The sequence below is a fragment of the Homo sapiens genome, chromosome 22 (genome assembly GCF_000001405.40).
Source record: "Homo sapiens chromosome 22, GRCh38.p14 Primary Assembly".
Classification (NCBI taxonomy): Eukaryota; Metazoa; Chordata; class Mammalia; order Primates; family Hominidae; genus Homo; species Homo sapiens.
The window spans coordinates 16,800,030-16,826,235 of record NC_000022.11 but is presented as its reverse complement, the minus strand read 5'-3'; the positions used below and the strand labels follow the sequence as shown (position 1 = coordinate 16,826,235).

Below are 26,206 nucleotides of genomic sequence, written 5' to 3'. Positions count from 1 at the left end.
ATAATCTCTGTGTCCTGCAACGTAAAGTTATCATTATAAAACAGGAGTCAAATTTGTGAATTAATCTTAGAATTGAATAAAATATTTCTTCTCTTTGAAAAATAATCATGCCCCATTTACAGTAAGAATTTTTATATGTTCATGCTTGAGAGGTGGTATATTAAAATTCTAATGCCTTGGCTTTAAGTGTTGAATATGTGTGGAATAAAAAAATAATGATTTTGATATTTCTTATACTGTAGGAGGCAGTTCTCTCATACTGGAAAGAGGTGTCATTGTTAGAAGCTTGTCTTGGTTTAACATAGTTTAAGTTTTGGGGGTGTATTTTGTTTAGTTCAAAATTTTCCATATTAGCAGTAAGTAACAAAAATGTCCAGATCAGAAAACTCTTTGTGAAAATAAAACAGGTGCTCCTACCAGATGTGGTTCATCAATTTTGACAGAATTTTCATTTAAAAAAGGCAAAATTAAAATTTGTTTAATTGTTTGCTTTCTGGGGAATTTTCTTGTTGCTCTGTCTGAAGGAAGTACAGACTTCTTTTGTGATGGGAGGGGATGAATGGCTACTAGACAGCAGCAAAAGATGGGCCATGGGTGCGAAGAGAAGAGGGAGTTAATGGGAGAATCAGAAAAATATCACCTTAAATGTAGGACAATCGAAGTCAAATTGTGGCTGAGCGTTTTGGGGAACTAAGATGTGTGACTCTGTAGGGAGGAAGAATGCCTTGGTGTTTTCAAGGGAAGATGACTCAGCTAGTGCAGTCACCTGACTCCAAACTGCAAGCCTACTTTAGTCATAAAAAGGCAAGAAAATAAGCAATTTTACCTGCAAAGCAAAGGACGTAGTGTTGAAAACGAGACCAGAAATGGTGCTGTTAAAGAGGTGAACAAAAGCATTTACTTTTTGAACGAGTTTCAAAACTGTGAGGGTGGCAAATAGGCAAGGTAAGTAGGAGCAGCCCTCGACCATCTCAGATCAGCTTCTTCAGCCTACCTTGACCTCTGCCTGTCTCAGCTGGGGATCTTAACATAAATCTCTGGATATCAGGGGTGGCTTTTCCCGAGTCTTGAGCCTAGAAACTCCCTCTCTTGATTCTGATTTTCAGAGAAGAGAAGCAGCTGCTTAGCATTTGGGTGGGACAGTGGTTGTTACTAATATATTACAAATTTCAGCATGTTTTTAAACATCAGAAGGAGAAAGTGCTTCGTATTTAAGTGAAATCTCAAAGGGGCAGAAATCTACCATATTTTTTGTTATTCAGATGCAGTGATGCACTGGCTATGTGAGTACAAGAAACAAGTTCACTTAATCACAAACACATGCCTAAATTCCATTGTTCAGTGACTTCACTTTCACTTTCTACCTTGAATTTTAGACTCTGGAAGACCCATTTCTAAACTCTGTGGCCCTTTTCATATGTGCATATTTTCATAAGTGTTTTCCAGAAATAAATTATAGAGGTCCTTCTGTGAGTCCAAAGGAGAAGGAAGTGGTTGGGGCAGCCAGAAAGGTGCAATCTGCATTAATATCATATTCGATGTATGGATTGCTGGGGAGAGAGTGGGATATATTTCTTATAATGTTGGATGTATTTTTCCCCTATCCTGAGGCCCAGAAACTCTGATGTCTCTGCAGTTGTCTTTCCATGCTTTCCTTTATACCCCTCGCCTACTTCTGTAATTTCTCTCTCTACTCTCCCTCCTCCTTCCCACCCTTTTTCTTTCCATTTGTGCTCTCTCCCTCCATTCCTTCTTTTTCCCTTTTCTTTCTTTTTGTGGGTATCTGGTAGCTGCAACTTATTTTCTTTCTGCTTTTCTTACTCACTTACTCTATTTACTAGGTATTTAACAATTGTCTTTAAAAGTAACATCCTTTCTTTCTTAAAATTTTATCCCTAATGGACATTATTTGGGGAAAAACATTTTTATGGTGCCTCTAGATAAGTAATTATATCATCTGCACATGATTCCCGTATTTTCTTACATGCCCGTTCCTCGTAGGTGGAAATGGGTACTTCATTGTACTCTTCTCTCTTTATTTACAAGAGTGTTTTTTCTGTCTCATCCCTTTAAATAACACATTGTCTCTCTTTTTGTGACATTGAATTAATTAGGTCAGATGCGATTTTTCTCATCTATTCATTTGAAGACTGTTTCATATTGCTTCTAGGGCCTATTTGCAAGCAACAAATTATTTTGTTGTTGTTGTTGTTTTGTTTTGTTTTTTAATTTTTGGACCATTTGTCTCATCACTCCAACAAGCAAGAATTAGTTCTCATCATTAAGATCCCTTCAAGATTTCATTCACTTGTTTCAGCAGCCTTGAATTATCATCACCTGGACCTGTTGTTACATCAAGAATCTCTCATTTCTAATGTTCTACTTTGGACACTGTTACCTGTGAGTTTGTTTACATTAAAAAAAAAAAACCTTTTAGTACTTGAGTACCCTAAAGTTTCATATTTTGAATTGGTGTCAGATTTATTATTATTGATCTCTCCATTGCTGGAGAAAACTAAGCAATAGGTAAACTCTATTCTTTTGGTAATTTGTATTTTCTGAATGTTTCACAGTAAATGTTTACTAGTCTTGTGATGCTGCAAATTGGCAATCAGATATATTTTAAAGTGACAAGGTTGCCCTGTTCATCACCAGTTCTGTACATCACGCAGATCAAAAGTAAGGTGTTTAAGTTTATTTTAAATGTTTTTCCCAAAAATTCTGCTTCCACCACTTTTCCAAGCTCTACCAGATGGATACTCAAGAATTGACCAAGGCAATCTCTTCTCTCATATTTCACTGTCAAATACTCTTAATCAGTGAGTCCTGTCAATTCTGTGTTTCTAAGAAATGATGATGGTGGTCATGATTATAATGATGTCAATAGGAACACCTTTCCAAACTTCACTGTGTACCACGAACTCTTCTTCCTGCTGCCGATGTATTATTTTCTCTACACTGCTATCTCCCCAGGAAGATTCTAATGATGTTATCATTGTACAGATGTGGAAACTGTAGCTTATGAGGTTTTAATTTTGCAATTCAAGGAAATGACAGGATTCTGGCAGTGTGGTAGCTCATGCTTGTAATCCCAACACTGGAAGGCTGAGGCAGGTGGATCACTTTAGCTCATGAGTTTGAGACCAGGAAGATGGTCAAACCCCATCTCCTCAAAAAACACAAAAATTAGTGTACATGGTGGCATGCACCTGTGGTCCCAGCTACTTGGGAGGCTAAGGCAGGAGGATCATTTGAGTCCTGGAGGTTGAGGCTTCAGTGAGTCTAGGTCACGCCACTGCACTCCAACCTGGGTGACAAGGGCAGATCATGTCTTAAAAAATAAACAAATAAATACCCACCACAACCAAAAGCAAAGGAAGCAAGCATAATAAGCTAGTTAATATGCTTGTTAGCAATGTGGACATTTATTTTATAGTTAAAAGAAAAAAATAGAAGTGACAGTATTGTAACTCAGAAAGTCTGGTTCCAGAGTTTGTACTGCTAACCAGAACAACTTGAGCATCAGTTGATATTTTCCATTTTTTTTGCTCTACTTTGTCTGATATTAATATAGCCATTCCAGCAGTCTTATCACTAGGGTTAGTAGTGCACAGCTTTATTCCATCTCTTCCGTAGTAATTGTGTCTTTATGTCAAGTATGGGTTTCCAGGAGACAACATATAACTGGATTTTACTATTTTTATTTCTCTTATAGGCTTTACCTTTTAGTTGTGGTATATAAGCCATTTACAGTTAATGTGCTGATTGATGTAGCTTTCTGTTTTCTCCATGTGTTACTTGTTCCATTTTCTCTTATCTGTCTTCTTTTCTATTATTTATTTATTTTTTTAATTTCCTATTATGGCCTTTGTTGGTTTCTTAGCTGTTACTGTTACTTTAGTTCTTGCTTTGAGGTTTGTAGTGTACATCTCAAATTTACCACAACCTACCTTGAAGAGGTATTACACTTCTCTATGGACAATGTTAAAACACTAAAATAACATGTACCATTATCCCCTCTCAGCCTCTGTGCTACATGCATTTTTAAAATTATATAACCACAATATTTTATTATTTCAACAGTCAATTGCATTTTTCAAAGATTTGATTAAAGAAAAAAGTCTAAAATTAACATACAAAATTGCCATTTTCAGTTTTTGTCATTTTATAAGATCTATTATATCTTTGTGGCACCTATCACAGCCATTTGATAAATTAATTTGTAGATACAGTAAGAATGTCATGTATTTATTAAAGTTTTTAATAGTGATTTTAAAATTTCTTATTAGGTGGCAAAAAATAATAAAAATAAATGCCCAGAACGAGTATGTTATAAAACTAAACTGTAACTCCATGTAACAGCTATAGCATAGTTTGTTTGAACTGAAATTCACATAAAATAATCATATTGAAGTCCAAAAAATTTAAAGATGTAGTGTAAATTCAATTTATATGAAATTGAAGCACGAGGTTTCCTAGATACCTGCTGCCTACAGAGTTAGAATCTAATTCTTCTGATTATTCTTGTAACAAAATCTTTTGAAATTCTAAATTCTGATGCAGAACGTATCAGTGAAACTCCCTCCCACTGTCTCTTGTATTAGCATCAAGGAAGCGAGAAAAAATAAGGTAAAAAAAAATTCTGCTGTGTTTATTTTTTTACCTTCGAAATCTTGCTGAGTATTACTGTTCAACAAATGAAAAAAAAAATTCTCATCAGTTGTACCTGTTTATTGCCAATATACCTGGAAAGCAAATTCACTTTGTGTACAAAGTTGCAGCTGTTTCCAGGTACTTGAAACACAGTAACCAATAAAAATACTCCTTATAATTAGGCTCCTGATTTTTGAGATGCTTTGTTTATCTTCTATAGTACTCTTAAGATAATCTGTTAGAATTATTTTAAGTATTCTTTCTATTGATATTTTTCTTAAGTTTGGCTGTACTGTCATAATAGAGCTTTCTAGAAGGAAAGCAAGTAAAGTTGCTTAACAGCTTTGATATATACATTTTTTCAGTTAAGGTCAATGCTATCATAGAAAATTACATTTTATTTTTAAATTGTGGGTTGAAAGTCTGATTTGTGACTCTTAAACATGAAGATATTGCTTAATATTATTAGTCTTAAATTTGAGCATCAGATAACATCAGAGTTGAAGACTTAACTCTAACATCTTTGTATAATATTTCCATTTACTTGAAATCTATGTCAGTCATATATCTTGTTTGTCTTAGTCATAATTGTTTTATGGATGATAATAGTTTGTGTTTTAGTTTTCAAATGGGAAAAAGGGTATTCTATCACAAAAGAGGGGTATTCATGAAGGAGTTATAACTTACAAGAGATCGTGAAACAGTCATCCTATTTCTAGCATCTGTTAGGTTTGCTTTCTCATCTATAACTGTGCATGACATTTCAGGGGTAACATCAAATCTTTTTTAAAAAATGAATATATTATTTACCTGTCATCACAATTATTTCCTGATTACTCTGTCATTTCTTAGATATTATGCAACTGTTTTTTTGTTAAGTAAGCATAGTAAGTGATTGAATGAAAGAATGGTCTCTGTATTGTGTACTGGAGATGGAGACTATGTATGTCAACAAGATGGCGTACTAGGAAGTGTCAGGCCTTCATGCCTTCACAGAGTCAGTGAATTAATAACAATATTTGGACCACAATACCTTTGTGAGAGCTCCAGAGACCAGTTGAGAAGCTGCAGCACCCAGGTCCATGTTAAATATGAAGGAATCCAGCAAAAGGAGTATGAACATTCATGTCATTTTACTTGTCAGTAGATCTGTTTCCATCTCCCTGTGTTGCATAGTGTGGCAGAAACAGGAGGAACACTTCCCTGCCAAGACTCCTCACTCAGTTTAACTCCCTGGGATTCTTCCAATTATACCTGCTAATAGTCTATTTCATTTTTATTGCTGAGTAGCAACCCATGGTATAAATGTACCACAGCTTGTTTGAACATTCACAATTGAAGAACACAAGGGATGTTCTTAGTTGAGTTGCCTTATACCTTCATGTACAGTTTTTTTGCGTAAGTTTTATTTTCTGTAGGATAACTGCACTGAGTTGCAAGGTTGTCTGACAGCTGCATGGCAAACAGTTTTGGACTGACCCTACCATTTTACATGCCACCAAACAACGCATGAGTGGCTTGTTATTTCTACATCTTCACCAGCATTTGGTGTTGTCATTACTTGTTAAAATTGTAGGTGTTTTAATAGATGCAGTGATGTAGCTAGTAATGTTCAGTGACTTTTTGTGCATTTATTTCCCATGCTTATATCCTTCTTAATGAAATGTCTTTGTACCCTTTGTTCATTAGCTAATTAATTTTTACCTAGGTATAGTAATTGGGTACACATTTCATATATGCTTTCTTCCATCTGCACATTGGCTTTCTAGTCTCTTCATAAGTTATTTCACAGAGCAGAAGTTTTAAGTTTTGATTTGATCTAATTTATCAGATTTTTTTCATGGCTTGTATTTTTGGTATCAAATCCAATAACTCTTTGCCACGCCTAAGAGGGTTGAATTTTCTTTATTATTTTTTAAAGTTTCCTAAAAAGTGTTAGAATTTCAGATTGCATTGAAGTTCATGAACCATTTTGCATTAATTTCTGTAGGGTGAGTTTTATGTTAAGGCTATTTTTCCTTAACCTATGGATGTCCACTTGCCCTAGCACAATTTGTTAAAAGGTTATTTTTCCTCCACTGATTTGTGTTTGCCAGCTTTGTGAGATATTGCATCATATTCAAATCAGTGTGACTCTATTTCTGGGCTTCCTTTTCTACATTTTTTATGAATCTATCCCTAGGCAAATACCACACTGTCATGATTACTTTGGCTGTGTAATAAGTCTTTAAAACATTGTTGACAGATTCCTCCCATTATATACTTCTTTTTCAAAATTGTCTTAGCTATCCAAGGATGTAAGTTTGCTTTATCTCAAAAAATCCTTTTTGAGATTTTGATAGGAATTGCATCAAATATATAGATCAAGCTGGGGAAGATTAACACAACATATTGAGTCTTCCAATACATTAACACAATGTATCCTTCTTTATTACTACTTTGATTTCTTTCACCAGTGTTTTATATGTTTCAGCATACAGAGCCAGCCCATACCTGTTTTTTTTTAATGTATATCAGAGCATATCACATTTTTTGGAGCAGTTGTGGATGATTCTGTTGCAAATTTGGGGTCCTCCTGACCTGTAGCATAGGGAAATAGCAGATTGCTGACTAGTTTAGATTCATTTCAACTGTTCAGAGGATAGGGGGTTGGGTGGTGGTAGATGCTTAACTCCCCAGTGGAGCCCACTGACAGAATAGGGTAGGGTAGTGGAAAGAGCAGTCAAGAAGCACAGTGCAATCATCTCTACTTAGATCTGGCTCTTTAACCACTATTGTTGTTGGGTGGACCTGGGTGCTCAGCTTGCTATTGGACTCTGCTGACACTGGTTAGGGAATTGGAATTGGAATGCTGTCCTCTGTTTTAGCTGGTTGGGAAATAGAAGATTAGCTGCCTCCTCTGACTTTAGAGGGAATCAGAGCATCACTGACCTGGGAGAAGCTTGTCTCTGTACATGGCTGCAGAGAAACTGAAGTAGTAGTTTTTTTTCTGTGGTGTTCGTCTGGAGTAGTTTGGTTATTCTCCATAGAACGGTTTTGTGTAGTTGTTTGTAGTTAGGTTATCCTCTCCTGGTCCTTGGGCTGCGAGAGAACAGGATTTTCTTGAAGCTCTTTTTGTCTGTGCCTATTGGAGATTCAGAATTGGAAACTTCTATAGTCCATTATGTGGGATACATGGAAGGCAATAAGAAAACCCAGTATCTTTACCATAGTATCACTCTTCAAGTCCTGAAATCCCTAGACAAGACCTTTCAGAGTCTGTCTTTGTTTCTTGTCATTATGTCCGTGGTGTTTTAGTTGTTCAGAGGAAACACTGGGGTGTTGCATTGTACCTGGAAGTCCTAGGAAGTCAAAGTTTGAGGAAGGCTTTAAAGTACAAAGCAAACCAAATCTCATAAAGCAAAACATGGGGAGGTATGATTGCAGAGAATGAAATGATATGATTTACCTATAATAAAGTGATTTTATAGAATAAACTTTTCACCAAAATTAATCTCGAAGAAGTTTTATAATATATGTGAAAAAGCCAATGATTTATAGCATATAAATAATATAGGTCAATGAAGAACAGATGAAATACCTGCCATACACTTTGGAAAAAAAATAAAGTTGGCAGTGCTTCCAGAAAATATTATCAAAAATATGTTCTTTTTCAACTGCAGAAGGGATATAGTAATAATGGCTTTTCATAGGTTTTATTTGTTAAGTAACAAATAATTCAATTGAAATCAAGCACTTGTTTCTAGTTCTCTGGGGCAATGTGAGCAGTTGCAAAACCAAATATTATGAAAACCAAAGATTAAAAGTGTAATATAATATTCTTTTTAAAAAAATAAAAATGGCTGTCAAGAAAGAAAACATCTGTGAGATTTGAACTCCAATATCACTAATTTGGGATAAACTGGATAGTTCATTGAAATAGTCAACTGAGGAGTAAATGTGGATATATTCCCAGGGAAGAGACCATTTCTGAGTCCAGTGGGGTTTGGCTTCCTGCCTAAATAATTTGTTAAAGAAAGTGTTGTTTAGACATTTAGCTGGAATATTTGAGCCAATATAGAAAGCCATTGACCACAGATACTAGGATCTAACACAGAATGAGGTTTTTATTCAAAGCCATGAGGGGAAAGTTCATATCTCAACCTCCATCCTATGTGATATTCAAGACTGAGGTCAGATTTTTTATATTACGTACAAGATATAACTACCTCAAAAGCAGAAACTGATTGGTGGACGTTCGATGCCCTAAGAAACAGCCAAAAAAGACACACTAAGGGGAACACTCAAGGATAAAAAGTTGAATTTAAAGATTCTTCATAATAAGTAGGTTTTGGTGTTCTCTGAGATGAATAAATGGAATCTAAAGGCAAAACAGGTGAGTAGGAGGACAAAAATAAATTTTTTAAATAGAGAATTATATCTCATTGAAAAATGAACCATATAGTAAAAAGTCAAACAAATTTTTGTTTCTTTGTTTCTTGTATAGTAGATTCAGCACAAATATAGTAAGAATAAGTAATTTTCTAAGTGGATCTGAAAGTAAGTTTGCCAGTTGTGGGGGAAAATACATAAATGTAAATGTCACATTTCATTTTGAAATTTGATAGTTTGCTGACAAACAACATATAATTTATTTTTGGTATGAGTCTCTTCCTTGCAATATTGAGAATATAATTATACTAAAATGCTATTTATTGTTTATTTAAAATGAAAATGCAACTGGGAATTCCATGTTATATCTGATGACCATACATGAAAGATAAGTTAATAAAAATTGAGCTCAGAGTAGACAACTTTCATATTAAATTACAAGATACACCAGAAGGAAAACATGTATAGAAGGGCCAAAAGGCAGAATATGAAAATAAATTCTACACTGGATATTATTCCACATAAGTTGTCATTTAATAAAAATACATTTTTCAACTCACAAAGATTAAGCAAATATTAAAGACTTAGTGAAAGCCAAAGGAAAAGAAGTATAAAACCTATTATTTTTATTTTTTAGCAGGGACAAAAACAAATATCAAAATTAAAATGGTACGTAGGAATTTGTGTGGGTTTTTTTTTGTGGGGGCTAGAAATACATTTTACATTTTTAGGAAAAAAATATCAACTAACTGGGCCCTTTTGATTAGCTACAGAAAGTGTAGAAATATGGTAGTTAATGTCAAAACCAGGAAAAATGAATATTTTTTCAAAAAAATGAATAACTACAGAAAGTGTAAAAATATGGTAATTAATGTCAAAAGCAGGAAAAAATAAATTTCTGCAAGAAAAATAATACAATTAGAAAAAAAGGTTCAGGGTAGGGAGAGGGATTGAACAACAGGCTGAAAGAGAGGCGGCAAAGGCAGAGACAGAAAATCTTGGGTAAATAAAAAGATATCTAATCAGATATTATGTAGATAAGAGAGTAATCATATTAGATGTAAATGCTTCCAAATTATGTGTTAAAATATTAAATACTCTAACACTGGATTGAGAAAATATGCTTTTACTTGGGAATAATCACACTGAAATATTAAAACAAAGGTGTAGAGAAAATTAACAAATATTTATTTAAAAAGATAGGCCACTACAATTGTATAAGACAGAAGAGAATTTTAGAAAAAATGCAAGCAATAAGGAGGGACAATAATAGATAACAGAAGAGGTGACAGGCAAAATATGAAATATCAAAATGTGAAAAAATTTTAAAGATATATAACAGTCACAAATTTAAATGCCTCAGTAGCATTGTCACAATATACGCCAGAATTAAATTTGATGGATATTTATTTATATTGACAAATCACAATTGTAGTGAGAGGTGATTAATATATCAATCATCTAGACTGATGAGTATACAGACATTTAGTTGTTAATAGGAATACTTTGCAATTAACAATTAACAATCCTTTTATATGTATATAAATGTTGCTACCTTCACTCTTAAAAAGTAAATATGTGTCTTAACCACTATATACCTTCTACTTACCAAGAAAACATTCTTTTTTAATGATGATTTACTTGGTTCAAAAATGTGATCTCAACAAGTTTTAGATAGATAATTTCATATAGATCTGATTTTATGGTTAAAGGTAACCAATATAAAATTAACAGACTTTCCAGCTCATTCTATGAGGCAAGTAGTACTCTGATAACAAAACTAGAGAAAGATTGTAGAAGAAAAGAATGTTACAGACAAATATATTTCATGAATACAGACAAAAATTCCCAAGGAAATACTAGCAATTCAAATCCAGCAATATATGAGAAGAGGTGCATTTCATAACCAAGTAGGATTTATCTCAGGAATGCAAGGTTAGCTTAATATTCAAGAATCAGCTATGCAATGCTGATACAATTAAGGAACCCAAACCATATGACAATCTCAACAGATGTGGTAAAATATTTTATAAAATCCAACACCTTTCTACGATAAAAGCACTCAACTAGGTGGGAATAGAAAGAAAATACCTCAGCCTGAAAAAAGGCATCTACACAAACCCCAAATCTAACATGAAACTTAATGCAAAAACCTGAATGCATTTTCCTCATGATCCAGAATAAGGCTAGGATGTCCACTGCTGCCACTTCTCTTTGACATTTTACTGGGAGTTTGATTTTGATGAGGGGCAATTGGGCAAGAAAATTAAAAAAAAAAAGCCATCTAAATTGGAAAGGAAAAAAGTGAATCTACCTCTGTTTGCAGATGACATGATCTTGTATACAAAAAATTCTGATAAATCAGAACTAATAATTAAGTCCAGCAGAATTGCAGATAACAAGATCAGTATACAAAAGTCAATTATATACCTACACAGTAACAAAGAGCAATCCAAAAATAAAATGAGATTAAGAAAAACATTTCACAAAGATAAGAGAATAAAATACTTAGGAATGAATTTAACAAATGTGCAAACATTATAATCTAATAACTCTAAAATATTGTTGAAAGACATTAAAGAAAATTGAAATAAATGGAAAGATATCCAATATTCATGGATTGGAAGATAACATTAAGTGACAACACCGCAAAATTGACCTACAGTTTCAATTAAGTCTCTACCAAATCCCAGGTGGCTTCTTTATAAAAATAGCTATGGCAATTCTACTATTCTTATGGACTTTCATAGGATGCAGAATAGCCAAAACAATACACTTTCCATTCAAAATTTACCACAAAGCTGCAGTAAAGATAGTGTGGTACTGACACAATACACCAATGAAATAGAATTGAGAGTTCAGAAAGAAGCCTTCCCACCTGTGTGCAATTGATTTCCAACAAAGGTACCAAGATAAGTAAATGAGGAAACATAGTCAAAATCTCAAGAAATGGAGCTGAGACAACTAGATATTCATGTGAAGTTGGAACCCTGTCTTTTACCACAGTTATCTCAAAATGTATCAAAAACCTAAATTCAGGAGCTGAACACAATAAAATAAAACTCTAGAAAAAGGTAGACGTTAATCTTTGTGACCTTAGATTACGCAAACGTTTCTTCAATATGTAACCAAAAACACAAATAATAAACATCAACTAAATTGAACTTCATTGAAATTAAACTTCTGTGCTTCAAAGAGATTATGAAGTAAAATGACACTATGGGAGAAAAATATTGTCACATCATATCTAGAGCTAAGCATAGGAAATGATAATTAGCTATCAGAAAAATGAAAATCAAACCACAATGAGATACAATGAATCTCAAACCACAGTGAGATATATTGAATAGAATGGAGTGTAATCAGAAAGAAATAACAGATGTTGGTGAATATATGGAAAAATTGGGAACCTCATCCAATTGCTAGTGGGAACATAAAGTGAGGTTGCTTCTTTAGAAAACAGTCTGGTAGTTTCTCAAAAGATTGGACATACATTCACCATATGTTCCTAAAATTAAGATATAATTGTGAACATTTGTATATGAATGTTACTAGTAGCATTATTCACAATATAAATGTTTCCAGATGTGGAGGTGGGCCTAGGTTGATGTTACCCTTGCAGTGGGTTTGCATCATACATTCACTCACCATATATCTGATATAATTGGTGCAAATCCACATATTCTATAATAAAACCACCAAGATAAAGAATTTGGACAAATTACTTAAACTTTCTTGCCTCAGTATGCTCGGCTTAAAAATCGGACAGAATGGCAAGCCAGTTATAGAAATCTCGAGTTTAGGAACCCCCAGCCTTTTAAAGGGAGGTAACAGCAAACCTGCTTAACTTATGCCTTAGAAAGAGGCATTATCTTTATCTTCTTCTTGTTTTTTTTTGTTTGTTTGTTTTTTGTTTTTTGTTTTTTTTGAGCCAGAGTCTTCCTCTGCCGCCCAGGCTGGAGTGCAGTGGTGCAATCTTGGCTCACTGCAAGCTCCGTCTCCCAGGTTCACGCCATACTCCTGCCTCAGCCTCCCGAGTAGCTGGGACTACAGGCACCTGCCACCACGCCAGGCTAATTTTTTGTATTTTTAGTAGAGACGGGGTTTCACCGTGTTAACCAGGATGATCTCTATCTCCTGACCTCGTGATCCACCCGCCTCGGCCTCCCAAAGTGCTGGGATTACAGGCGTGAGCCACCGCGCCCGGCCCATTATCTTTATCTTCTACAGTGATTGTTATACACAGCTCCATGAAGATAATCTACAACAAAAGGCTGTAAGTCACGAACAGCCTCATATTGTATGAGTCTGTTTATATTAAGTGTCTGTAATAGGCAAATCCACAGAGACAGAAAATGGCTTATTGGATACCAAGGGCTCTAGGAAAGGGGGAAGCTGGTATAGAATGCTAATGGTACAGAGTTTCTCATTAAGGTGATGAAAATCTTCTGTATGTAAGTAGTGGTGATGTTTGTACAACTTTGTGAATACCTTGAAAATCACCGAGTGTGTACTTTATTTTATTATTATTATTTTTTAGACGGATTCACACTCTGTCTCCCTGCCTGGAGTGCAGTGGTGCAATCTCAGCTCACTGCAACCTCTGCCTTTAGGGTTCAAGTGATTCTCCTATCTCAGCCTCCTGAGTAGCTGGGATTACAGGTGCACATTACCATGCCCAGCTAATTTTTTTATTTTTAGTACAGACGGGGTTTCACCATGTTGGTCAGGCTGGTCTCAAACTGCAGACCTCGTGATCTGCCTGCCTCAGCCTCCCAAAGTGCTGGGACTACAGACGTGAGCCACCGCGCCCAGCAAGTGTGTACTTTAAAATGGCTAATGTTATACTATGTGAGTTATCTCTCAATCCAAAAAGTGTTTAAATCTTGGTTAAAGTTGTGTGCACTACCAGCCTTAACAGGAATGTATATGCGGGTTAAACACACAAACAAAAGTACTGAATGTGCCCCAGTGACATAAAGGGGCAGGGAAGTGAACAACTGGAAAACAGTGAGAGCTAAACTCAAATTTGGCATTGAGTATGAAAGCATGCTTTCTCCAGTCTATGTAGGAAAAACTGGAGGAAGTGGCCATGTAGTTGGATAATTTTTCACTTATAACAAGTGCCTGTAAATATGCCCCTAAATATTAAACCTTTTTTTGTTTTGTCTTTGTTTGTTGTTTTTTGTTTGTTTTGTTTTTTGAGACAGAGTCTTGCTCTGTCGCCCAGGCTGGAGTGCAGTGGTGTGATCTCAGCTCACTGCCAGCTCTGCCTCCCGGGTTCACACCATTCTCCTGCCTCAGCCTCCTGAGTAGTTGGAACTACAGGTGCCCGCCACCATGCTGGGATAATTTTTTTGTATTTTTAGTAGAAACAGGGTTTCACCATGTTAGCCAGGATGGTCTCCATCTCCTGACCTCGTGATCCTGCTGCCTCAGCCTCCTAAAGTGTTGGGATTTCAGGCGTGAGCCACCGTGCCCGGCCATATTAAATCATTTTTTTAATAAGAAAGTGAAGTTCAGAATCTAGAAAGGAGTTGGCAGTACCAACATTAAATTATAAATTGTTCAGCGTACACGTGAAGAATATAACTTACATTTTAGTTCATGTTATACATACATATAAGCAAACAGAGTTTTCTATTTTGATAACAAAACCACCAGGATAAAGAATCAAGTCAAATTACTTAATCTTTTCTTGCTTTAGTCTCCTTAGTTTAATAAGAAGACCGAATAGTAAGCCTGTTACAGAAATTAAGTCTGTGAACCTTTTAGAATAAAGATCAGGCCAGCCACGGTGGACTCAGGGTGAATCCAAACACTTTGGTGGGGCCAAGGTGGGTGGACCACCTGAGCTCAGGAGTTCGAGACCAGCCTGGCCAACATGGCAAAACCCCATCTCTACTAAAATTACCAAAAAAAAGTAGTCAGGTCGGGTGGTGGGCACCTGTGGTCCCAGCTACTGAGAGGCTGAGGCAGGAAATCGCCTGAACCCAAGAGGCAGAGGTTGTGTGGTGAGCCGAGATCCTGCCACTTCTGCCTGAGCAACAGAGCAAGACTTTGTTACTTCCTATTAAAAAAAAAAAAAAAAAGAAGAAAGTGAAAAAGAAAAAAAAGATCAAAGTGAACTGAAAATATATCACGTATTGTTTTCCACAGTTCACCTGAGAAAAGACAAATATCCATGTACTGATAGAACTTACATTTTGGCTTTAGTAGGAAGCAGTGACAACAACTAGTGACTTTTAAGTAAGAAGCATAAGGCTCGTGGGTTCATGTATATGCAGGTGCATAATATAAACTCAAAGGAGATTTGAGCAAATTTTTTGAAATGGCAAGGAGAGCAGAACCTCTGAGGTTGTAGTATGTATTGGGGCCCTGACCAAGAAAAAGAATGGTAGAAGATATGTAAAAGTGAATAAGAATAAAATTACTTATGTGTTTTTGTTACATTATAAGGACCATGGTTTTAGCTTAGGAAAGGGGGAGGCTGGGATTGAATGCTAATGGGTAGTTTCTTTTTAAGGTAATGGCAACATTCTATATATAAATAGTGTTGATCTTTCCTGTAACTTTGGGAATACCCTAAAAATCACTAAATGTGTACTTTAAAATGGTTACTTTTACAGTATCTGAGATATAACTCACATAATATAAGAGGTAATCGAGGAAGGTAGGGGATCACTAAAGAGGCTGAGTTAATCGCCTGAGAAATGTGGATGGCCTGCATCTGGGTGATAGCAGGAGGAATAGGGAAAAGTGGCTAGATTCTGCATGTGTCTTAAAAGTAAAACATGCAGAATTTGATGATTAATAGAAATGATGCAATGAAAAGAAAAGCATTAAGGATGACCTTATGTGCCTTAGCAGCAGGACGTAATTATTATCAGGTGAAATGGGAAACATATGGGGAAAGTTGTTTGGAAAGTGGATCAGAATTCAGTCTGTAGCCTTGAGTTCAAATTGCCTATTAAACTCGAATATGTACAACAGACTCCTATAAGTTTGGGGCATTGGTAAGAGACTGGCTGGAGATATAAATATGGGACTCAGTACCATTCAGAAATCCATTGTACAGGAAAAGATAACCAGGAGATTGAGAGTAAATGCATCAGGAATAATTCAAGTAAGAGGGAGACTAAAAAATAACTTTTATAATTGGCCAGGTGTGGTGGCTTGCACCTCCAATGCCAGCAGTTTGGGAGCCTGAGGCGGGCAGAAGGCTTGAGCCCAGGAGCTCGAGACCAGCCTGGGCAATATGAAGAGACCCTGTCTCTACAAAAATACCAAAGTTAGCTAGGCCTGGTGGCCTGCAGTCACAATCACCCGGAAGGTGGAAGTGGAAAGATCGCTTGAGCTTGGGAGGTTGAGGCTGCAGTGAGTCCTTGATCGCACCACTACACTCCAGCCTGGACAACAGAACCAGACCGTGTCTCAATAAACAATGATAGGAATTTAAAAAAAAACTATTATATTTGGCAAAAAGAAAGTTAAATATAGTACTTTTGGTGGACCGTTGGGGATGAAAGCCTGACTGGTTAAGGTAAGTGGAATGTTCAAATGAGAGCATATTATCAATGGCAAAAATATTCAACTGAAGTTTAAGGTAACATATTACATTTAGCAATTAGGGTGTCACTGATGACTTTTGAGAAACCACTGTGACTTCACTGTTGTGGGATAAAACCTGAGAAATAATAAGAAGTGATGGAAAGGAAATAACTAATAGAAATTCTCTGTGGCAATTAAAAGCAGAGAAAAAGTTCAGCACCATGAGAGACAGTTTTTGTTTTGAATTGTAAAATATGGTTTTTTTAATACACGTGTGATAAGGAAATCAGAGCACCGAAGAGGAGAATAAAATAAATTACACAAAAGAGAAAAAGATCAATCATATTGATGGATTGGGTCCAGGAGGACATATTTTAAAATGGGATGAAGGTTTTGTCTTTGAATAAATAAGTGCATATAGATAAAGGTGTGATTTAGATCAGAAAAACAAAAGAAGTTGAGGAATTTAATATTCTGCAGCATAAAATTTAAAGAATTTGAGGAATATTTATGATAAATTATGACAAAGCAATGCAAAGACAGTTCAAGAAATGAACAACTTGTCAAATAAAATAGATAACTTCCTGCTTCTTCCCTCCCACTTTTTTTAACTACTACTTTTACTTTTCCCATTAATATGTTTTTAAAAACCACCAACGTCTTCTGGGGAAATATTATCTTTCTTTCTGGAAATTTGCATTAGATGCTTACTCATTTTTTGTGCTTTCAATATATTAACAGCATTTTTAGTCAGAAAAATATTTCTCTAAAACAATTTCATTTTAATATTTACTTGATTTAAAAGTACTGTTGCCTTTTATTTTCCTTCTTATTCATTTTGTTTTATATTGCTTCCCACACATAGTGACTAATTGATGTTCACAGTATGTCAGTAATTTTTCTGGCGGTTTGTCTACAGAGAACCTAAAATGAGCTGTTTTTCCCCCCAACAAAAGAGAGTTTAAACCTACTATTGCCATGCAGTCTGGATTTTACATCTATTTAAATTGAAACTTTACTAGATTAATAACTTCATAGAGTTAAGTTCAGTCAAGAAACAGTATTTTAAATGCAAATAACCAACATCTAGCAATAAGTGGAACTTAAAGGCCTCACTATTCTGTATTCCTTTACTAATCAGGAATATCTGGGGATAGTTTTCTTAGTGTCATCATGGTTAGACTTGGCTTAGATTGTGCCGTTTTATTTTAGTGGATGTCAGCTGCAGACATTGGCTGAAAAGCACAAAAAGAAAACTTATGAGTAATGAACATTTCTTTCATACTACTTGGAGATAGGACTATCATCTCAGTGCTAAGAGGTAGTTGATGCCTTATAGAAGTTTGATCGTCTACTTCTTTAAAACAATGTTTTCTGAAGAAATAGTATGTCAAATTAGACATCATAGTTCAATATTCCCTAAACCAGACATGGATTTTTCTATTCTGATTAGTGATCCATATCTACCTGTTAACATTTTCTATGAATAGTGAATTATAGAGAATCTTGTTTACTTCTGTTTAAATTTAATACTGAACTCTACTGGATTCACTGACAAGACGACTTTGAATTAGCAGCACCCTGAGAATGGAGACAGTGTTTGAAGAGATGGATGAAGAAAGCACAGGAGGAGTTTCATCTTCGAAAGAAGAAATAGTCCTTGGCCAGAGACTCCATCTAAGCTTTCCTTTTAGCATTATCTTCTCAACTGTTCTCTACTGTGGTGAGGTTGCCTTTGGTTTATACATGTTTGAAATTTATCGAAAAGCTAATGACACATTCTGGATGTCATTTACCATCAGCTTTATTATTGTGGGGGCAATTTTGGATCAAATTATCCTGATGTTTTTCAACAAAGACTTGAGGAGAAATAAGGCTGCATTACTTTTTTGGCACATTCTTCTTTTAGGACCTATTGTGAGGTAAGTGACACAAATATTTCTCATTCACTGCCTCCAACAAGTAAATTGAATATAAATAGATGGCTAAAAAGATTAAGGATGCCATAATTATCGTTTACGGAATTGAAATATTTCCCTCTTTAGATTTATTTAGTTTTCACACTTTCGTAACTGTTCCTATTTAATTGTCATCAGTTATAAGGTAATGATAGTTTTTTAAAAATGCAAATGGGAATGAGTCAGTCATTTCTTCTTTCTATGTATGTGTTGTATTCCAGTCTTTACTATTTTTCTCATTCGGCCTAATGGGCATTTTAAATAGTTATGAGGCCTAGAACTATAACCTTAAATTAAGGAATGAGAGTAGAGTGAGTGAGAAGAGAGAAAGACTTGAAAATAATCTCATAAATTTTATTTGTCAACTGAAGCGAATTTAACTTTTTAGTGGTAATTTTCCAGACATCCTGGAATTTGTAGCTGTGACTTGGAATATCAAAACATAGCTTAGCAATTCATTTCCATATCACTTCTGTCTGTTACTACACTGATTTGCATGAGTACTGTAAATTTTGTTATGTTAATCTGTCTTACTCATAGTTCTAAATTCTTAGTTACTATATATGTGAATAAACATAAAATTTGGCAGGTAAATTCTTTTATAACTTTCTTTTCACTGAATGTTTTAGGTAAACTCAAGTTTATTTTTCTGTGTGAATTTCAGAGCTAGATGTTGATAAATTTTATTTTATCCAATTAAACTTATAGATTAACTTTGGGAAAGACTAACGTGCTTTGAAAGAACAATTCTTCATATTTATGGACCACATAGGAATTAATATTTATTTAAGATTGATGTATCTTAAGTGGTTTTTTTTGGTGTGTTTTCTTTATTGAAGTTTTTATATTTTTTAGGATTCTTGCATCATGGATTTACATTTTAGGTTAATACAATGCAAAGTATATTTTCATTTTACTTTTTATTATTGTTAACTGTTTTGTTATTGATTTAAAACTTAACTGTAGGTTGGGTGTGGTGGCTCATCCCTGTAATTCCAGCTCTTTGGGAGGCCAATGCAGGCGGATCATTTGAGGTCAGGAGTAGAGTCCAGCCTGATCAACATGGTGAAAAACCGTCTCTGCTAAATACCAAAAAAAATAGCCGGGCGTGTTGGTGCATGCCTGTAATCCCAGCTATTTGGGAGGCTGAAGCCAGAGAATCTTTTGAAACTGGGAGGCAGAAGTTGCGCCTAGGCAACAGAGCAAAACTCTGTCAAAAAAAAAAAAAAAAAACCTTAACTATATTCCATCACAAAATGTGATCTGCATTATAAAATGGAAATACATGTTTATATATGAATTATATAAACATGTAAATTTAAAAATATAAATATATAAAGGGAGTCTTGAATTATTACCAGATGTGATGTCAAATGTTACAAAGGTTTTTCACGAGCTAAATAAGAAAGTATTGATTAATTGACTTTTTTCTTTTTTTTTTTGAGATGAACTATCATTCTTTTTCACCGAGGCTGGAGTGCATTGACACAATCTTGGCTCACTGCAACCTCTGCCTACAAAGCTCAAGAGATTCTCCTGTCTCAGCCTTCCAAGTAGCTGGAATTATAGGTGCCCACAACCATGCTCAACTGACTTTTATACTTTTATTAGAGGTAGTGTTTCACCAGGTTGGCCAAGCTGGTCTCCAACTCCTGACCTCTAGTGAGGAATTGCCAGACTGTCAGACTGACATTTGAGAAACTCTCAGGCTGTTTACCAAAGTAACTGTACTTCCTCACCCTTAGCTCCCTCTAGCAATAATTAGGGGTTCTTATTTCTGCACATCCTTCTCCACTCCTACTGTCTCTTTAAATCATAGCTCCTAATGCGAATGAATAAAATTTCATTGTGATTTTGGTTTCTATTTGATTTTTGAATGGACCTGGCAGCCTTGTTGAAAATCAGCTGACGGTAAATATGAGTGTATATTTTGGAGTGTCTTATCTATCCCATTGATCTATGTATTAATTCTTATTACCAGTTTGATGAATAATGTTTTGTAATAAGTTTTTAAGTAGAACGTATTAATTAACAAATTAATTAAGTTGATAATATTATTTTTGCAAAATTGTTTGGCTGTGTGGAGTCCTTTGCATTTCCCAACTGATCAGTTGATTGTTTCTGCCAAATATTGTGAATAATAATAACAACAATAAAGGCAATGAATTTTGATATGGAATGAATTGAATCTGTAGATAAGTTTGGGGAGTATTGTCATCTTAATAATATGAAGTCTTTCAACTCACGGTCCTGTGATGTATTTACATTTACTTAGGTCTTTAACTTCTTTTGTTGATGTTTGGTAGTTTTAAATGTACAGGTCTTACACTTACTTGTCAAAGTTATTTCTGAATATTTTCTTTTTTAGGTTATTATAAATAAGGTTTTTAAAGCATCATTCTCAATCGTTCATTGCTAGTATGTAGAAATACAAATCATTTTTGCATACAGATGTTGTGTACTGAAACTATGCTGAGACTATTTACTAGCTTTAATGTTTTTTTGTGTGGATTCCTCCAGATTTTCTGTATACAAATTATGTCATCTTGAATAGAGGTAGTTTCACATCTCCTTTTTTTAATCTGTTTGCCTTTCACATCTTACCTGGTAACCCAACAACTAATTATTTTGGTTAGAACCTCTAGTACTATATTGAAAATGAGTTTACATGTTTCACTTATTTTTGACATAAGGGAGAAAGTTTTCAGTCTTTGGTCGATGAAAAGAGTTAAACTCTGTAAAATATTTTGAAGGGATTTATTCTGAGCTAAATGTGAGTGACCGTGGGCTATGATACTGTTCCCAGGAAGTCCTGAGTACATGTGCCCAATGTGGTCAGGGTACAGCGTGGTTTTATACATTTTAGGGAGGCATGAGACATCAATCAAATAAACTAATAAATACATTGGTTTGTTCCAGAAAGGCTTGACAGCTCAAAACAGTGGGGTGGTTGGGTGGACTCCAGGCTATAGGTAAATTTAAACATTTTCTGGTTGACAACTGGGTGAGTTTATCTAAACAGCTGGGATGATAGAAAGGAAACAGGTTAAGATAAAATATTGTGGAGACCAAGGTTCTTTTGAAGTCTTATAATGTCTGCCCTTAGAGAATACATGACAAATGTGTTCTATTCACACCTTTTAAAAGTGCTAGACTTTCAGTTAATCTCTTCAGATTTGGGAGGGCCTGGAAGTAAAAGATCTGGGGAAATTAATAGAGATTCCATGCAGATCCAAATTTTCCCCCACATAGGACAGCTTTGTAGGGCCATTTCAAAACATGAGGGGAAAAAAAACATGTTTTGGGGTAAAATATTTTTACTTTCTTCTTTATTTTGTTTTGTTATGCCAGAGTCAGACTGGAAAGTAAGTCACATTATATAGGGTTAATTAGAATCCATCTGATGAGAATTTATGGTTTGTAGGGCATTAGTACCCAGACCCCTTATATAGGGATTTGGGCAAGATTACAAAATGAGAGCTTAGTCCTCATTTTTGGCATGAAATATTGTACTAGCTTTTTTTTTCTTAATTGATGGCTTTTCCTAGTCTGAGAAAGTACTGTTTGTTGAGTGTTTTTATTTTGAGATGTGTTGGATTTTGCAAAATGATTTTTTCTGCCTGTTGAGATGATCCTGTGATTTTTGTTCATTATTCTGTTAACATGATGTATTTCACTGATTTTTATATGTTGAATCTGTTATGGGAAAGTGGTCCTGATCCAGACCCCAAGAGAGGGTTCTTGGATCTTGTGCAAGAAAAAATTCAGGGCAAGTCCACAATGTGAAGTGAAAGCAAGTTTATTAAGAATGTAAAGGAATAAAAGAATGGCTACTCCATAGAGAGAGCATGCCCAAAGGCTGCTGGTTGCCCATTTTTATGGTTCTTTCTTGATGGTATGCTAAACAAGGGGTGGATTATTCATGCCTCCCCTTTTTAGCCCTTATAGGGTAACTTCCTGATGTTGCCATGGCATTTGTAAACTGTCATGGCACTGGTGGGAGCGCAGCAGTGAGGACGACCAGAGGTCACTCTTGTGGCCATTTTGGTTTTCGTGCATTTTGACTGGCTCCTTTGCTGCAACCTGTTTTATTAGGAAGTTCATTATGACCTGTAGTTTTTATTACACACATTTTAGAACACATTTGCCATGTATTCTCTAAGGGCAGCCATTATAAAACCTCCTTTTTATCCTGTAACTTAGAATGCTTTAAATATCTGGGAATGCAGCCCAGTGTGTTTCACATTCATTTTTCCTAGCTCCTGTTTAAGATGGAGTTGCTCTAGTTCACATGCCTCTGACAAATCTCTTCTTGTTGTGGAAATAAATCCTATTTGGTTGTTGTGTATTATCATTTTTTATATGTCGCTGAGTGTGGCTTTCTAGTGTGGTGTTGAGGACTTTTTTGTCTGTGGTTCATAAAGGATATTGGTCTGCAGTTTCTTCTAGTTTTTTTCTCATTTTTGACAGGCTATAGCATTTTTAATAGATTTTATTATAGTTATGCCTTAAGACAACAAAACAAGTATATGCAAAAGTGGAAAGGTAATTTATGAAAACATAATGATTGTTAAATTCTGGTCTACTGTAACTAAGGAAAATTGTGTGTGTATATATATATATATGTCAATTGAGGACACTACCAACCTTAAGATGGATTGACATGGAAGTCCCTGATTAACATAACTTTACAGCTTAACATCCTCTCCACGATCTCCACAAGGTTTTAGAAAGTCTTACTTTCATGGCCAACTTTTTAACTTGTGTGACTATTTTATTTCTGCAAAGCTGTCTTAATGTCTTATTTTAATGTCAAAAAAATAAAAAGAAAAGGATGAAGGAAAAACCTTGTTTTGTTTTTCACAAGCATCACATTTGGTGTCAGTTAATGAGTTTGTAGGAAGACTGGGATGACTGCTGGGTGCAGTGGCTCATGACTGTAATCCCAGCACTTTGGGAGTCCCAGGCAGGCAGATCACAAGGTCAAGAGATCGAGACCATCCGGGCCAACATGGTGAAACCCTGTCTCTACTACAAACCCAAAAATTAGCTGGGTTTGGTGGCGCCCACCTGTAGTTCCAGATACTTGGGAGGCTGAGGCAGGAGAATCACATGAACCTGGGAAGGAGAGGTTGCAGTGAGCCAATATCACGCCACTGTACTCCAGCCTGGCAACAGAGCAAACTCTGTCTCAAAAAAAGAAAAAAAAAAGAAAGACTGGGATGGTTTACATGAATTATCTGTTAGGATTAAATATTAGACATTCTACCTCTAAATGTTCTCAGTTATCTTCTTTCTTTCCTTTACTCCTTACCTTCTTTCTTTTTCCTTTTTGAAGCTAAGACAATTCAATCAAGTATCTATAAATTTTTCCTTCCCCAAACCCTGATAAAATTCTTCATATAAGATAATGAAAGACAAGGGATGGGAGAAAAACTGTTTTCTATTTGGTCAGAAGATAGAGATAATAAATGATAGTGTGTACTTAAAGGTCAAAAGTATCTAAAGGGTATAGTGATATGATTTTCTATTTAATTTATCATACATTTCATAATTGCTAAAGAAGAGCTAGTTAATAGGGTCTAATGAAATGATATATTATGGCCATTGGATTATGTGGTGAGAGAGAGGTACAATAGTAGACAATGACAGAGGAGACTTTGGAGATATTGAAAATATTCTGTTTGTTTAAAGAATGGTGTTACTTACATTAATGATTTTTTATAAATTTTAACAATGTCTCCTTTTTGGAAAATTGCAGTTTGTATTAGAGAAAATGGGCTCCAGACCATTTAGTCACATACTTTTCTTTCAGATTTGTGCTGGATTTGTTCATTTTTGCAAGTTATTGGGTGTATAGAAGCTTAAAATTAATACAGTTTTCTGACAAAATAATATTTTGCACTGACCTTTATTATGCTGATGACACTTTTTTTGCATTGAAATGTTTCTTCTGATTTTATAAAAGCACAAACAGCCTTTTCTGCCTTTTCTGTTGTTTGCTTTTTTTTTTTTTGCTGATAGCTTTTATTTCTTGTTCTTATGCTTTAATTATAACTCTTTAACACCTGACAACTTGTAGTTCTGAACATGTACGTTTAGTCTATTTGCCCGCATTGCGTTATTTTAAAACTTACACTTACTTATATATTTATTTTTTTGAAATGGCATCTTGCCGTGTTGTGCAGGTTGGAGAGCAGTGGTGTAATCTCAGCTCACTGCAATTTCTGCCACCCAGGCTCAAGCGATACTCCTGCCTCAGCAATAACTGGGACTACCTACAGGCATGCACCACCACACCAGGCTAATTTTTGTATTTTTAGGTGAGATAGCGTTTCACCATGTAGCCCAGAATGGTCTCCAACTCCTGAGCTCAAGGGATCCGCCCCTTCTTGACCTCCCAAAGTGCTGGATTCCAGGCATGAGCCAGTGAACCTGGCCACACTTATTTAATTTTATTCTTTATAAATCTTTTCTGCCTAGGATATATAAGACTTCCTTAATCTGAGAATTCATGATTGTAACAATTTGAAACTCTTTTTCTAGTCATTATTTTAAAAATACTGCCACTTCCTGTATTCTTTTAAAATTCTGATCAGAAGTGTAGGCTTTGTCACTCTTTTCTTAAATGCCCTATAATCTCCATCATATATTAGATGCTCCTTTCTCTCTTTGCTACATTTTTTTGTAATTTTGTTAAAGTTATTTATTTTTCAATTATCGAATTAGCTTTCAACTATTTAATTTACCCAGTGTTTTTTATATTTTGTTTTCTAGAGATTCTGTTGGTTCTTTTTAATACTTGCTCATCATTGAGAAGCATTATTTTTTCATACTTCTGAAGTACTCCATTATTTCTTCAAAAAGTAAATATTTTTTGGTTTGGTAAATTTTACATAGGAAATACGTTGGGGTCATCTTGTGCTTCTTATTCATGGTATCTTGCTTTTATTCATGTTTTGTGATTTTTTATAAAGATCTGCTTATTTCCCATAGATTTTTATTTGTGAAAGTTCTTTGAGGACTACTTTGAAGTTAAACTCCACTATAGATCATATCTGTGTATGTTTTTATCACTTACCTGTGGCTGTTTTAAGCATTCATTGAGTTTTTTTAGACTGCTGTCTTAAAATAATGCTAAATGAGCTAAATTTCATCACTAGAGAAAAATCATAAGTCAAAATATGTTCCAATGAAAATCTGGGGTCCTTCCTTTGAGGCAGTTGACATTTGTATCATGGGAAGAACACCTAAAAACATTGATGTCTTTAAAAAGTTGTCAGAATAGTATGTTTCTGGAGAAATAGCTTTTGTATGTGTCAGAATATTAACGCATTAGAAAAACATTGTGATATTATTTAATCAAACTGACCTTGAGAAAGTGAATTGAATTGTGTATGAATGAGGAAATTTTTACTTTTCATCTGCTGTTTGAATTTTTGTTTATCAGACTGCAGTTATGTATTATTTGAAGTTGAAAATGAGGGGAAGAACTACCATAAATAATAATATTAGAAACTGTTAGAAACTTATTTTTTATCCAGTGTGATTAAGTTAATATTTGCCATTTGATAGTATAATTTCAAAATTAAGAGTTCCTCTCCTGATAAACTTTCAAATATTTCTAGATGTCTGTCACCAATAAATGTTAATCTTGGATGTTACTTCATGTT

General features: G+C 34.9%; 1 protein-coding gene across 6 annotated transcripts in view; it reads left to right on the top strand.

The window, feature by feature from the left end:
• Positions 1-824: 824 nt before the first annotated feature.
• Positions 825-26,206, top strand: part of XKR3 (XK related 3) — a 41,932-nt gene continuing 16,550 nt past the window's right edge. Inside the window, exons 1-4 of one of the 6 annotated variants that reach the window (NM_001386957.1) lie at positions 825-883; positions 2,321-2,400; positions 16,191-16,567; positions 18,153-18,497. In NM_001386957.1, the coding sequence (NP_001373886.1) occupies positions 18,163-18,497 (335 nt within the window). In that variant the 5' untranslated portion in view covers positions 825-883; positions 2,321-2,400; positions 16,191-16,567; positions 18,153-18,162. Of the gene's footprint in view, positions 946-2,320; positions 2,401-4,536; positions 4,630-16,190; positions 16,568-18,149; positions 18,498-24,727; positions 24,857-26,206 lie in introns of those variants that run through there. The other 5 variants (NM_001386956.1, NM_001386955.1, NM_175878.5 and 2 more) reach the window with 5 other exon arrangements.